Source organism: Homo sapiens, chromosome 19 (genome assembly GCF_000001405.40).
Source record: "Homo sapiens chromosome 19, GRCh38.p14 Primary Assembly".
Taxonomy (NCBI): domain Eukaryota; kingdom Metazoa; phylum Chordata; class Mammalia; order Primates; family Hominidae; genus Homo; species Homo sapiens.
Window position 1 is genome coordinate 14164249 of NC_000019.10, and position 13562 is coordinate 14177810.

At 55.5% G+C, this 13562-nt stretch overlaps 1 protein-coding gene and 1 long non-coding RNA gene across 22 annotated transcripts in view, besides 3 other annotated features; one reads left to right on the top strand and one right to left on the bottom strand.

Annotated features, from left to right (window-relative positions):
* The window catches only part of ADGRL1-AS1 (ADGRL1 antisense RNA 1), a 34113-nt gene extending 27097 nt beyond the window's left edge, over positions 1 to 7016 (top strand). Inside the window, exon 3 of the long non-coding RNA NR_045214.1 lies at positions 4529 to 7016. This is a non-coding gene — a long non-coding RNA (ADGRL1 antisense RNA 1). The remainder of the gene's footprint in view (positions 1 to 4528) is intronic.
* Positions 1 to 13562, bottom strand: part of ADGRL1 (adhesion G protein-coupled receptor L1) — a 58427-nt gene that overhangs the window by 16506 nt on the left and 28359 nt on the right. For 9 of the 21 annotated variants that reach the window (XM_047438417.1, XM_017026477.2, XM_017026479.2 and 6 more), the window contains 3 exons: positions 13283 to 13496; positions 6434 to 6543; positions 2768 to 2785 (listed from right to left, as the gene is read on the bottom strand). In XM_047438417.1, coding sequence (XP_047294373.1) covers positions 2768 to 2785; positions 6434 to 6543; positions 13283 to 13496 — 342 coding nt within the window. Of the gene's footprint in view, positions 1 to 372; positions 458 to 2767; positions 2786 to 6433; positions 6544 to 13282; positions 13497 to 13562 lie in introns of those variants that run through there. The other 12 variants (XM_047438418.1, NM_014921.5, XM_005259818.4 and 9 more) reach the window with 5 other exon arrangements.
* Positions 3203 to 3702: an enhancer, noted in NCBI's record as "H3K4me1 hESC enhancer chr19:14278263-14278762 (GRCh37/hg19 assembly coordinates)". NCBI's record gives its function as "activates a minimal SCP1, AML or CMV promoter by ChIP-STARR-seq in naive H9 embryonic stem cells {active_cell/tissue: H9 hESC(naive)}" and the evidence as "EXISTENCE:reporter gene assay evidence [ECO:0000049][PMID:30033119]".
* Positions 3203 to 3762: a biological region, named in NCBI's record as "H3K4me1 hESC enhancer GRCh37_chr19:14278263-14278762".
* Positions 3573 to 3762: a silencer, noted in NCBI's record as "silent region_10236". NCBI's record gives its function as "represses an Ori minimal core promoter by ATAC-STARR-seq in GM12878 lymphoblastoid cells {active_cell/tissue: GM12878}" and the evidence as "EXISTENCE:reporter gene assay evidence [ECO:0000049][PMID:35858748]".

A 13562-nucleotide genomic window follows, 5' to 3' on the forward strand; every position in this document is an offset into this window, starting at 1 on the left:
GCAGCAGACAGTGGCACTGTGCACAGGGGTGGGGGTGGGGACATGGAGAGGGACAGGGCTCCCGGGAGAGTTGGGGAGGGAGAGGAGAGCTGTGCAGAGGGAAGAGAGACAAGGGCGTATGGGGCTTGGCGAGGTCCTGGCTCCGTGGGAGGCTGCGCTGCAAACCACCTGGGAAGAAAGGGTTAGTGCTGGCGGAGGAGAGAGGGGTGAGCAGAGAATTCACTCCAAGGCCCAGGCCCGACTGAGGGTCCCTCAGGGGGGCAGTCCCAGGTCCAGCTCGGAGGGGGCAGGGGAGGGAACCAGGCGCTAGGATAAAGACCCAGCCCGCCCCAGCCAGGCCCCCCACCTCCCCTGGCCCGGACCCCGATTTACCTGCGACCATCCCCGGCTCGGGAAGAGGGACCAAGGCAGCGCTGATGTCAGAAAGGTGGGGGGCCCCGCCCCACCCCCCCAATCCCTGAAAAGGAGGAAAACCTCAACTGCATCTCGTTGGCCACTGCTGGCCGGCCCACCCTTGCCCAGTCACGTCCCAGCACCACCTACTCCTAACCTCCCCTTGACTGATCCGGGGGTCAGTGTGGCCAGACACCCCACCTCCTCCCAGAGTGCGCCCCTCCATCCAGGATGGCCGGGCCTCCCTCACCTCCTGGCTGGCAGAACCCACACATAGGCCAGGGCGAGGGCACAGGGCGAGGGTGGAGGGTTTGCAGTGAATTCTCTGCTCTTGCTTGGCATGTCACCAAAGCAGCTGGCCCCGAGGGGATCGGGGGGCTGGGACCTGGCACCGGCTTGGGGGGCAGCCCCAGTGGCAAGAGGGGCTTGGGCTAGTCCTCATTCCCCACCTCCAGCAGGCTTGGGAGGGAGGGGGACAGGCAGCACTCCCTTCACAGCATGGGAACAATGTGGCTCAGGGGCCCCCTGGCACAAAGCAGCCAGGATGTAGTTTTTGTAGAGGGAGAGGAGCCTGGGACATAGAGCTGGGCAGGAGCCAAAACGACCCTGGCTTGGGCCCTGGGGACTGGCCATCCCCCTGTCCCTGATGCCCTGAGGGGTCGGCCTGCCCACTCTGTCCAGCACACTGGCCTCTGCCCAAGCCGGTCCCCACCCCCACCAGGTGTGTGGCATCTGAGGGGACGTGTTTGTGTGAAGGGGACGGTGGGAGGCCTCAGAGCCTAACCTGCTCAGAGGGTGTCAGGGGGGAAAAATGTGGTTAGAGGTCAACCCAGGGGAAGGGGGAGAAGATGAGGAAGGGTCTGTCTGGGGCCTTGGACAGCAAGGACCCTTCACCAGCACCAAACTCCCAATCCCTCCTCTTCCCTCCCTTGCCCCGTCACCCCACCCGCCCTGCCCTGGCCCTCGAAGAGAAAATCTCCAGTGGTGCCGCATCCAAACCAGTGGGCCTGCAAGAAGAGTGGCTGGTGCTGGGAGGGAGAGAGACTCCAGGAGAAAGAGAGGAGACTGGAGGGGTGTGGTGAGGGGGCGGACCTGGGGCCAGCAGCCCAGGCCTCTCTGAGATGGGGGAGAGGGGAAGACGGGGAGGGGAGCAGCTCAGAGGGACCCTGCCCCACCTCCTTCGGAAGGGATGCTCCACAGACCACTGTAATTTCAAGGCAAAAGGGATCCCTAAAGGCCATGTCCTCCAGCCCTGCCTGCTGCTGCCGGCCTCAGATGGGTAAATTTCCCAAAACTTTCTGGAGAGGAAATGGTCATCCCTAACATCTCACCCTAGAAGCCCCTCAGCAGCAGCACCTCCGCTCCCCCCAATAACAGCCAGTAATGGCCAGCCCCATCCACTAGGGAGTTCTCTGCTAGAAATTACGGAGTCTGTGGAAGTCCCCAGACTGTGCCCCCGCCGCCCGCCGCCCATCTCCCTGGTCCTCTAACCACAACAGCCCAGAAGAAACCCTGACTGCAGCTTTGCAAGTGTGAAAGAAACAGAGAACACGCTCCCCCACCCTTCGCTCCCCCAACCACGAGGCCCGCCCCCGCCCCCTCGCCCTCATTTTTTCATTTTTTGGCAGGCTGCCCCCTCCCAGGGCTGGGGACAGCTGACACCCCTCCCCAGGGCTGGGCCCCCAGCTGGTCAGAGATGGGGATCAGGTTGGGGGTGGGGAGGACTGGTGCTCCATGCTCCAAAACAGCTCTGGGCCTTGGAAACATCAAACCAGAAGGAACTTAAGCCACCAGGAGCCCGAGACATAGGAGAATCTGCTCCCCAAAAGGAAAACAATGGTGTCCCCTCCAGCCCGCCTCCCATGAACCAGAAACATGTTATAAAAGGTACAGGGGAAGGAGGAAGAGAGAGGGGAGAGACAGAGAGAGAGAGAGAGAGAAAGAGAGAGAGAGAGAGAGACAGCTCACCCGGTGCCCCAGTGGGGGAGCCGGGGAAGGGAGTCCCTCCCTCCCCACCCGCCCTGGATGCTTATACACTTCTCCTGAAGGAGGCAAAAGAAGTATGAGAAAAGGCCAGGTCCCCCGAAAGGGCCAGGGACCAGGAAGGAGGGACAGAGAGAGACAGAAACAGCGAGAGAGAGAAAATCCTGCCCAAGCTCAGAGAGGAGCTTCCGTGGGTATCTGGAGGGTGGAGATGCCCGTGGCCGCACCAGGGCTGGTCCCACTGGGAGGACAACCCAGGGTGGGGGATACCGACCGGACCAAGTGTGGGTTGGGGAGAGAAGAAGGGGCCGGGGGAGGGCAGGTCACATAAGTATGGTACAGGTAGAACAAAGTGTGAGTTAGGGGTTAGCATTGGTAACAGTGCGTTTACCTTTCTGCTCCACTTCTACTTTAAGCATCGGAAGAGAGAGAGAAAACAAATTGAAAAAAAAAATGTGCAAGAAAAAAAGAGAAAAAAAAAGAGATTAAATTGCTTTCGTTTCTTTTCTGGCAACACGCCCCCTTTTCCTTTCCTTCCTCGCTCCTGCTTCCCCAACCCCTTCCGTAGCATCAGCTCGGGCCCCCGCCCCCAGGTCCCTTCCTCTGGGGGTGGTCAGGTGGGGTGAGAGGGTGCTGGGGAGACAGTCAGAGGGACGAGGGGGACACACACAGGAGGGAGAAGACACAGAAAGACACAGGGGTGGTAGGGGGGTACAGGCAGGCAGACAGAGCCCTCAGGTGGGAGGGGGCACCCTTGGTGCAAGGCGGGGGCAGGGAGTAGGGAGCCCCAGCTGGGAGGTGGGCTCCGGTCAGAGGGGGCACCAGGGAGTGGTGGGGTGGATAAGCCACTCGGCTCCCTTCCCACCCTGCCTGCTGCCCTCCTGCTAGAACCAGGGGCCCCAGGGGAAGGATTTCAGTGTCTCCCAGGGCCTGGGCCCACCCTCAGCCAAGAAACAGGCTGAACTCCTTCCCCTTTATGCTGGCCTCACCCAGGTCCAGCTGACTTCCCCCAAGCCCTCACAACCCAGAAGAAGCAAACACAGAGAGAAGGTGGCAGAGCCAGACACAGAACGACAGGCAGACGGGCAGTTGCACCCGGGCCCCAGAGAGAGCCAGGGTTGGGGAGACGGAGGCAGAGAGGTGGCGGGGGTGGGGGACACAGACTGGGTGGGACAGCAAGTGGGGGCACAGACACGCTCCCAGGCTCCCCAGGGGCAAGTCTGAGGCTCGGCTTCTCTGCTCAACCCACCCAGGGCCCGGGGGCCCAGGAGCTGGGAGCTCCGCCCTGCCCGCTGCCCTGCGGACGGGCGGCACCTAGGGGAGGAAGGGGCGCGGTTAGACTGTGCTCAGCTGCAAAGCAAATCCAGCATTAGTCGGGCTTGTCCACTGTGTGGGAGGGTTCCCACACATCACGTGCCCCCTGCCACCCACCCCTGACCCACCCTCACCAGCACTGGGGTCACCCCCAGCCTCTGAAGCCCTGGGCCAGGTGGCTGCCCAGGCCGCTCCCCCTCTGCATCCCTGGCCCCTCAGGAACTTCTGACTGGAGGGACTGGCTCTCCTGGCCCCTCTCTGAAGGTTCCAGCAGGGAGCTCCGCAGGGGCAGCCTCTGCCTCCCTTCCCAGCGCCTCACCCAGGGCCTGGCACTCAGGAGATGCTCAGTGAACATTTTGGGGACAAGTGAGTGCCTGGCCTCCCTGTCCTCTAGCTACCTCCTGTCCCCGCTTTAACTCCAGCCTCCTTCCTCTGGAGCATCAGGAGTTAGCTCTGCCCCCAACATCCACCCCGTATGTGTGCACACATGTCTGCGCGTGTGTGTGTGTGCGTGTGTCTCCTGTCTCCCCAAGGGCTCAGGCTATCTCTCTTCCATCAGACAGGCAGCCACTCATCCTCTGAACTGTCCTGCCCTCTGTCCCTGGAGCCTGCCTGGTCTCTGTCGGTTGTAGCCCCTGGACCACGCTCAGGGCCTCGGCTCCAGGAGGTTTCTCAGCTCCTCTCCTCCCCTAGCTTCTTTCCTGCGGCTTGACCTGAGCCTCTCGTCTACTTGCTTTGGCTTCCACCTGGACCGAGGAATTTTTCCTGCCCTTTATCTCACCTGCCTCGGGAGAAGTTGGGTCATTATCCGTTGTTATTTTAATTTTGATTACCACAGCAATAATCGTAATTGACAAGAGGCATTACAAGGAGCTGCAACAAAAGCAACGACTACCAAGTGTCCAGCACTCACGAGGGGCCAGCAACTATGCTACGCACCTCACTGGCCGTCTTTTGAGAACCCTGTCTACAGATGGGAAAACTGAGGCACACTGAAGTGAGGCCACATGGCTGGCGAAAGCAGGCACCATTTCCTTTGCATCTACAGCTCGGGTGCACACAAGCTTGACATGCGTTGTCGCTACTCCTTGTGGCTTCCCAGGGAAGGCTTTTGACCCCTCTCCACCCCATCACAGATGAATAAACAGGCTCAGCTGGCTTAAAGGGCATTGGTAATATTACTGAGCACATCCTGAACCAGGCATGGGTCTGGGCGCTGGGGCGGCGGGTGAAGACGAAGCCTCTGCCCTTGGGAAGTTTACACTCGGCACTCAAAACCCTGCCACCAGGAGCGACTTTGTGGCCGGCCCTGGGCCAAGCGCTTCTCACATGTCATCTCATGGACTCACACCTCCTTCCGTAGTGGCCCAGAGAAATTAAATCATTTGCTCAAGGTTTCAGAGCCAGAAAACTCAAGAGCCCAGTCGAGCCTTGAACCTACACCCATCTGACTGCCCCCCTGTGCTGAGCTCGCTGCCTCCCACCCCCCTTCCCCGCTGTCCCAGCCGCGGGAGTCAGCCGTGTCCCCAGTGCTGTGGGGAGGCTTCAAGGAGCAGATGGGCATCCCCCTCGGTGGTGGCTGAAGGCCTCAAGCGCTGAAAGGAAAGGACGAAGAGTAAAAGAAGAAAATTACGGAAGCACAGAAGGGATCCTGTTTCCCCAGCATCGAGTCACCTGTGAGGAGAAATCAAAGGCTGGCAGGGAAGGTTGGGGTGGGAGGGGAGAGGAGGGAGAGTTACAGGGCCTCTTAGTCCCCAAACCCGGCCCGCCACACTCAGACACCCTGATGGCCCTGCCTTCTCCCCACTCTTCCCGGAGGCCCTACCACCAGGTTGACTACATGGAACCCATTGTGGGAGGAGAAGGGAAGGGATAATGGGAAGGAGGGAGGGAGGAGAGAGGGCAGGAAAAAGGTGATGTCAAGGGTGGGGTGCTGAGGAGGAGAGACCTTGTCTTTGTCTGATCCCTTTGGCCAGGTGCAAGATGGCCAGGCTCCTGGCTCCCCAAATCACTTTCTTCAGGCTGCCTGGAGGCCACCCTCAGTCCAACATGGCGGCATTTCCTTTGCAGACAGGAAGTGCCACATGGTAATGGGGAGACCAGTGAGGAGCTATGAATCTGTTGAAAATGCCCCCCAGCCCTTCACCCTGAATCTGCCACCAGGCCTCAGAGGATGGTATCCCACTCTATGGGTGTAGAGTCCAGCTTCCATGATTGGGAAGAAGTGTGTGGGGAGTGAGGGTGCTGAGAGAACGGTGTTGAGAGGGGCAGTGGGGTAAGTGAGAGGGAAGAGAAGGTAGATGAGAAGGGTCAGAAAAGGTCAGAAGAGTCAGAAAAGGAAGGGATGTGAGAAGGCGAGGGAGGCAGATGGGGGAGAAAAGCATAGAGGCCAAGGGAGAAGAGAGAGACGTAAGTGTGCCAGGCAGAGCACGGGACCATGGCCTGGCAGTGTGGAAATGAGTATAGGGTGCATGAAGAAGCAGGGTGAGTGGGCTGGGGTAAGGAGAGCTGGAGAAGGTGTCCCCACAGGAGGGGACAGAGTCTGTGAGGCGGGGGAGCAGGCACTGAGTGTGGACACTGGTGTCTGGGATTAGAGAATGTGTGTTGGAGAGAGCAGGCCCGGCTGTCCCCACTGTGCCCAGGCCCCATGCATGTGTGCACATGTGTGATGGGTCAAGGTGTCTCCTCCTCACTCACTCATGCGAGAAGGGCCCGCATCCGCACAAGGAACAAGATGACTCACTGTAGGGGACACAGTCGTACTGCACCTCCAGGTACTTGTAGGTCCCAGGACAGGGGTCAGGAAAGGCATCCGAGCCGGCGACCACCACGCACTGGGTGCGGTTGTTACACCTTCAGAGGAGAAACAGGGCATTGGGAAAGAAACACATAGACGGGGTGGCGGGGGTGGGGGTGCATGCTCCAGGGTCATGGTGTCATAGACACCCCCAAATTGGGAAGGGGCAGTGGAGCTGGAAACCAAGTGATATAGTTTGGATCTGTGTCCATACCCAAATCTCATGTTGAATTGTGATCTCCAGTGTTGGAGGTGGGGCCTGGTGGGAGGTGATTGGATCATGGGGGCAGTTTCTAATGAATGGTTTATCACCATCCCCTCCGTGCTGTTGAGATCTGGTTGTTTAAAAGTGTGTAGCACCTCCCCTGTTCTCTTTTCCTCCTACTCCAGCCATGTACGGCGTGCCTGCTTCCCCTTCACCTTCTGCTGTGATTGTAAGTTTCCTGAGGCCTCCCCAGAAGCAGAAGCTACTATGCTTCCTGTACAGCCTGCAGAACTATGAGCCAATTAAATGTCTTTTCTTTATAAACTACCCAATCTCAGGTATTTCTTTATACCAGTATAAGAACGAACTAACACACCAAGCCCAGAGGACTTGTGTGGGCACTTTTTGTTTCCTGCCTGCTCTCTCTTTCCCACCAGGGTTCTTCTATTTTCAGCCCCAGCACAGCATCATCCTCAGGGCTAAGAAGGAGGAGTCACCCGCTAAACAGTGCTTTCCTGGCCACCCCTCATCTCTTTCATTGTGAGTGTAGCTGACACTATTATATCCTTGGCATTTTTCTTTAAATGGACTTTAAAGCCCCTGCGCTGTTCACTGGAGAGTAATACATGTGAAGCCATGCACGTGAGGTGGTGTCTCTGCAAACTTACGATCAATGAAATGTTCAGTGTCCAGCTGTGTCCACTTCACACCATCTCGTGGACACATCCCACCCTTTGGGCAGTGCTGCTGTGCAGACTTATAGCCAGGGCAGCCAGGAGAGAGCATCCCCAGGGGAAAGCCATTCTCGGTTCCCAAGAGGCAACTCCTCCAAGTCACTGTCAACTTCCCAGGGGGCTGGCTAGCATGTAAGGGGGAACCTATTTAACAAAAAGGTGTGTCTCATCTGCTGTCTGTCCCCACTGTCAGGGTCTCTGTCCCTTGCAGCAGGCTGGGGCTAGGCCAGGCAGGACACGGGCATGCAGGACATAGTTTGAGAGGCTTCCCGACAGGTATGGGGCAGAAGAGGCCCTGTGTCTCCCCTTCAATCCTGCTCTTAACCAAGGGTACTAAACACAGGCAGACACTTGAGAAGGGACTAAGGATCTAGCAGGGAGAGAGAAAAATGGGGGGCAGGATGGGGTGTGGGAAGATCTGTCTGTATCCATCCACCTCATCCTCTTCTTTAAAAATAGAACACTGGCTGGGCGTGGTGGCTCACGCCTGTAATCCCAGCACTTTGGGAGGCCAAGGCGGGTGGATCACCTGATGTCAGAAGTTTGAAACCAGCCTGACCAACATAGTGAAACCCTGTCTCTACTAAAAATACAAAAACTAGCCAGGCGTGGTGGTGCATGTCTGTAATCCCAGCTACACAGGAGGCTAAGGCAGAAGAATCACTTGAACCCAGGAGGCGGAGGTTGCAGTGAGCCAAGACTGAGCCACTGCACTCCAGCCTGGGTGACAGAGTAAGACTCCGTCTCAAACAAAACAAAAGAAAACAAAAAATAGAACACTGGGGCAGGGTGCAGTGGCTCACACCTGTAATCCCAGAACTTTGGGAGGCCGTGGTGGATGGATCACTTGAAGCCAGGAGCTTGAGAGCAGCCTGGCCAACATGGTAAAACCCCATCTCTACTAAATAAACAAAAATTAGCCAGGCGTGGTGGGGCGCACCGGTAATCCCAGCTACTCGGGAGGCTGAGGCCCAAGAATCGCTAGAACCCAGGAGGCAGAGGTTGCAGTGAGCCGAGATCGCACCGCTGTACTCCAGAAGTAGACAATTCATACATTTTAAGTTGTGTGCTGTTGTGAGTAGCCTGATGAAATCTCATGCTGTATGGGGCGTGTCCATGCTGTATTTGCTCCCTGTCTGTTAGTCACTAGTGGTCATCTCAGTTATCCATCAACTGTCACGGTTTCACAGTGCTTATGTTCAAGTAGCCCTTAGTTTATGTAACAATATTTTACTACTAAAAATTATTATTGTTGTTGTTAGTCTCTCACTGTGCCTAACGTATTTTATTATTATTATGTTTTGAGACAGGGTCCCGCTCTGTCACCGAGGCTGGAGTGCAGTGGTACAATCTTGGCTCACTGCAGCCTCGGCCTCCCAGGCTCAAGTGATCCTCCAGCCTCTGCCTCCCAAGGAGCTGGGACTACAGGTATGTGCCACCATGCCCTGCTAATTTTTTGTATTTTTAGTAGAGATGGGGTTTTGCCGTGTTGCCTAGGCTGGTCTCAAACTCCTGGGTTCAAACAATCTACCCGTCTCGACCTCCCAAAGTGCTGGGATTACAATCATGAGCCATCACACCCAGCCTATTTTATTTTATTATTTTTTAGACAGGGTCTTACTCTATTGCCCAGGACGGAGAGCAGCGGTGTGATCATGGCTCATTGTAGTCTCGACTTCCCGAAGTGCTGGGATTACAGGCATGAGCCACCGCATCTAGCTGTGCCTAATTTGTAAATTAAACTTTATTATAATTAGAGCTGTATAGGAGAAAACATGGTATATACAAGGTTCAGTAGCTCTCTGCAGTTTAGGCATCCACTGGGGTTCTTGGAGCGTTTCCCCAGTGGGTAAGTGGGGATTACTGTACCCAAAAGAATTTAAAACAAGTGTTTAAGCAAATCGTTGTACACGCACGTTCACAGCTGCATTATTCACAATCACCACAAACGTGGAGGCAGCCCAAACATCCACCAACAAATGAACAGCTAGGCTGGGCGCAGTGGCTCATGGCTATAATCCCAGCACTTTGGGAGGCCAAGACTGGCAGATCAATTGAGGTCAGAAGTTTGAGACCAGCCTGGCCAACATGGTGAAACGTCGTCTTTACTAAAAATACAAAAATTAGCCGGGCGTGGTGGTGCATGCTTGTAGTCCCAGCCACTTGCGAGGCTGAAGCAGGAGGACTGTTTGAACCGGAAAGCGGAGGTTGCAGTGAGCCGAGATCATGCCACTGCACTCCAGCCTGGGGGAGAGCAAGACTCCGTCTCAAAAAAAAAAAAAAAAAAAAAAAAAGAGTCTCCAGGCTTGGTTGTGGAGCAGTGGGGGTTGGGGACTCAGCGGAGAGGAAGCAGGACTAAGGCCCCCTACAAGTCCTTCTGGATGTGACTCCAGAGGCCTCATCACACTCCCTCAGCCCCGGTAACTATTCTGCACAGCATTCCCCACGGACATGGGAACTGGGCCAGATGCTGTACTAGGTGCTAGAGAGATAATGGAGAAGAATGCAGTCCCCCAAAGCTGGTGTTGAATGAAGTCAGCAGGGAGAATTTGGAGAGGTGGGAGGAAGGGGGCTCCCAGGGAGGGGGCCCACAGCCTAAGCAAAGGCTAGAGCCTGGACTGGGAATGCCTATGCAGGGCACCCTCGGCAGGGGTGTCAGGGGACAGGAAGCGGGGAAGAGAGGCAAGATTGCTGGAGGGGAATGGCAGTTTGAGAGAGAGGCAGAGAGGAGGAGATGATGAGGTGCCTCCAGCCCAGCCCAGCCCAGCTATCTCAGCCACCTGAACACTGTCATCCCCTGCCCAAACCTCTCCTGCTCTCCTGGGGCTCTCAGTGACCCGCTCCTCCCCTGGTAACACACATTTTTTTTTTTTTTTTTTGAGACAGAGTCTCACTCTGTCACCTAGGCTGGAGTGCAGTGGTGTTATCTTGGTTCACTGCAACCTCTGCCTCCAAGGTTCAAGCGATTCTCCTGCCTCAGCCTCCCAAGTATCTGGGACTACAGGCTCACACCACCGTATCAGGCTAATTTTTGTATTTTTGGTAGAGACAGGGTTTCACCATGTTGGCCAGGTTGGTCTCGAACTCCTGACCTCAAGTGATCCACCCGCCATGGCCTCCCAAAGTGCTGGGATTACAGGCGTGAAACACTGCACCTGGTCTGTTTTTTTTTTTTTTTTTTTTTAGAGACAGGGTCTTGCTCAGTCACCCAGGCTGGAGTGCAGTGGTGGGATCATAGCTCATTGAAGCCTCAAACTCCCGGGCCCAAGTGATCCTCCTGCATCGGTCATCTGAGTAGCTGGGACCACAGGCACACACCATGACTGGCTAATTTATTTTTTAGTTTCTAGTAGAGACAGGGTCTTGCTATGTTGCCCAGTCTGGTCTCGAACTCCTGACCTAAAGCGATCCCCCTGCCTCAGCCTCCCAAAGTTCTGTGATTACAGGCGTGAGCCACCGCGTCCAGCCTGGGTGTAATTTGAAGGAAAGGCTGATCAGCTCTACATGGACTGACTGTGGGTGTGAGAGAGGCTTGTGCAGATTTGCACACGTGGTGCCTCAGCCTGGGGCAACCCCTCCACGCTCACACAATCACAAACAACTCAAAGAAATACAAATACACTCTCAGTCAACCACACACAAACCCTCATCCACATACACACATCTGCCCACAGACACAGTTAAATACACAAAGACACAGCCACACCCACCCACCCCCACACACGTGCACCCATCCACCTCACCACTCACAGATATGAAAACACACACCTCAGTCAGCCACACCCGCTCACACACATGCTCACACCCACACCCGCTCACGTACACTTAAACACACCCAAATACACTCATATAACCACATATTCACCCACAAACACCCACATTCACACACACATCCACCCACCCAGATACACACTCCAATACACACTCATACAGACACACTCAGACACACTCAAAGACATGTTTAGTCACACACATCTGCACACACCTACACCTGTTCACATACACTTAGACACACAGACACACTTAGTCACAATCACACACATTTAGTCACACACTCAAAAATGCACACATACTCACACTCAAATACACACACAGGCCAGGCGCAGTGGCTCACGCCTGTAATCCCAGCACTTAAGGGGGCCAAGGCAGGCAGGTGAATCACCTGAGGTCAGGAGTTCAAGACCAACCTGGCCAACATGGTAAAACCCTGTCTGTACAAAAATACAAAAATAAGCTGGGCATGATGGTGCGTACCTGTAATCCCAGCTACTCGGGAGGCTGAGGCGGGAGAATTGCTTGAACCCTGGAGGTGGAGGTTGCAATGAGCTGAGATCACACCACTGCACTGCAGCCTGGGCGACAGAGCAAGATTCTGTCTCAAAAATAAACAAAACAGGCCGGGCGCAGTGGCTTACACCTGTAGTCCCAGCACTTTGGGAGGCCAAGTGGGCGGATCATGAGGTCAAGAGATCGAGACCATCCTGGCCAAGATGGTGACACCCCGTCTCTATTAAAAATACAAAAAAATTAGCTTGGCGTGGTGGTGCGCGCCTGTAGTCCTAGCTACTCGGGAGGCTGAGGCAGGAGAATCGCTTGAACCCAGGAAGCGGAGGTGGCAGTGAGCCAAGATCGCACCACTGCACTCCAGCCTGGGTGACAGACTGAGACTCTGTCTCAAAAATTAAATAACTAAATAAAATAAAACAAATACACCGTCATACTCATAGATGCATGCAATCACACAGACACACTCCAAGTTACAGTCTTGCATGCTCAAGCATTCACCCCACACACAATCACTCACACAGGCCTGTGCTTCTATCATCTGTGCTCAGGTGTCTCCTCCTTGGAGTAGCCTGATGAGCTCTCAAATCTGGGATGGGTGGGTGCGGTGGCTCATGCCTGTCATCCCAGCGCTTTGAGAGGCCGAGGCAGGAGGATTGCTTGAGGCCAGGAGTTTAAGACCAGCCTGGGCAACATAGCAAGACCCTGCCTCTACAAAAAATAAAATAAAATTAGCCAGGCATGGTGGCAGGCGCCTGTAGTCCCAGCTACTCAGGAGGCTGAGGCAGGGGGATTGCTTGAACCTGAGAGGTCACAGCTGCAGTGAGCTGTGATTGTGCCACTGTGCTCCAGCCTAGGCAACAGTGAGACCCTATCTTCAAAAAAAAAAAAAGAGTCTGGGATGAAGGGAAAAGTCCTCCCATGACACCTTCGCTCTGTCCTGCTGTTCTTTATATTTTACAAGCTCCAAACTGCCCTGGCTAAGGCTGGGTGTGATGGCTCATCTCATGCCTGTAATGCCAGCACTTTGGGAGGTCGAGGTGGGCAGATCACCTGAGGTCAGGAGTTCGAGACCTGCCTGGCCAATTACAAAACCCTGTCTCTACTAAAAATACAAAAAAATTAGTCAGGCGTGGTGGCGTGCGCCTATAATCCCCAGCTACTTGGGAGGCTGAGGCAGAAGAATCGCCTAAACCCAGGAGGTGGAGGTTGCAGTGAGCTGAGATGCCACCACGCTCCAGCCTGGTAACAGAGTAAGACTCCATCTCAAAAACAAACAAACAAACTGCCCTGGCTAATCTTGGGATGGAAGTTATGGAAGCAAGAGGCTGGTGGGGGGAGGGACTTCCCAGTGTATGTATGGGTATAGGCCTCTGTCGGGGGCACAGGCTGGCTGTGGGGAGATGTACTGGGTCTTATTCTCGTCTGCATGGGGCCCAGCACCTATTAAGTGCTCAGTAAACATGTGTTGAATGCATAAAAAAAAGATGTAAGGTGAACGGGTGTGCTGGCAGGTGTGCAGTGCTTTTAGGCGGGCACTTCATCCAGGAACTGCCACGAGAGCCCACTCACCTCTGTGACATGATCTTGAAGGCGTCCGGCAGGTAGCACTGCACATTCTCCATCTGGAAAGGGTCAGCATCGCAAATCTTGTCGTCCGTGCGCCCGTAGTTGGCATTCTCCACCATGATGACGTCGCTGCCGGGGCACCGCAGCTCGATGGGGTAGCCTTCACACGCCAGCTCCCGGCGCATCAGCCCGAACGGGAGCCCGGCCCGGCTCAGGCCTGCAGGGAGGGTTGGGGATGGTGTCACTCCTGGGCCTGGGCCAGGAAGGGAAGACCCTACCCACT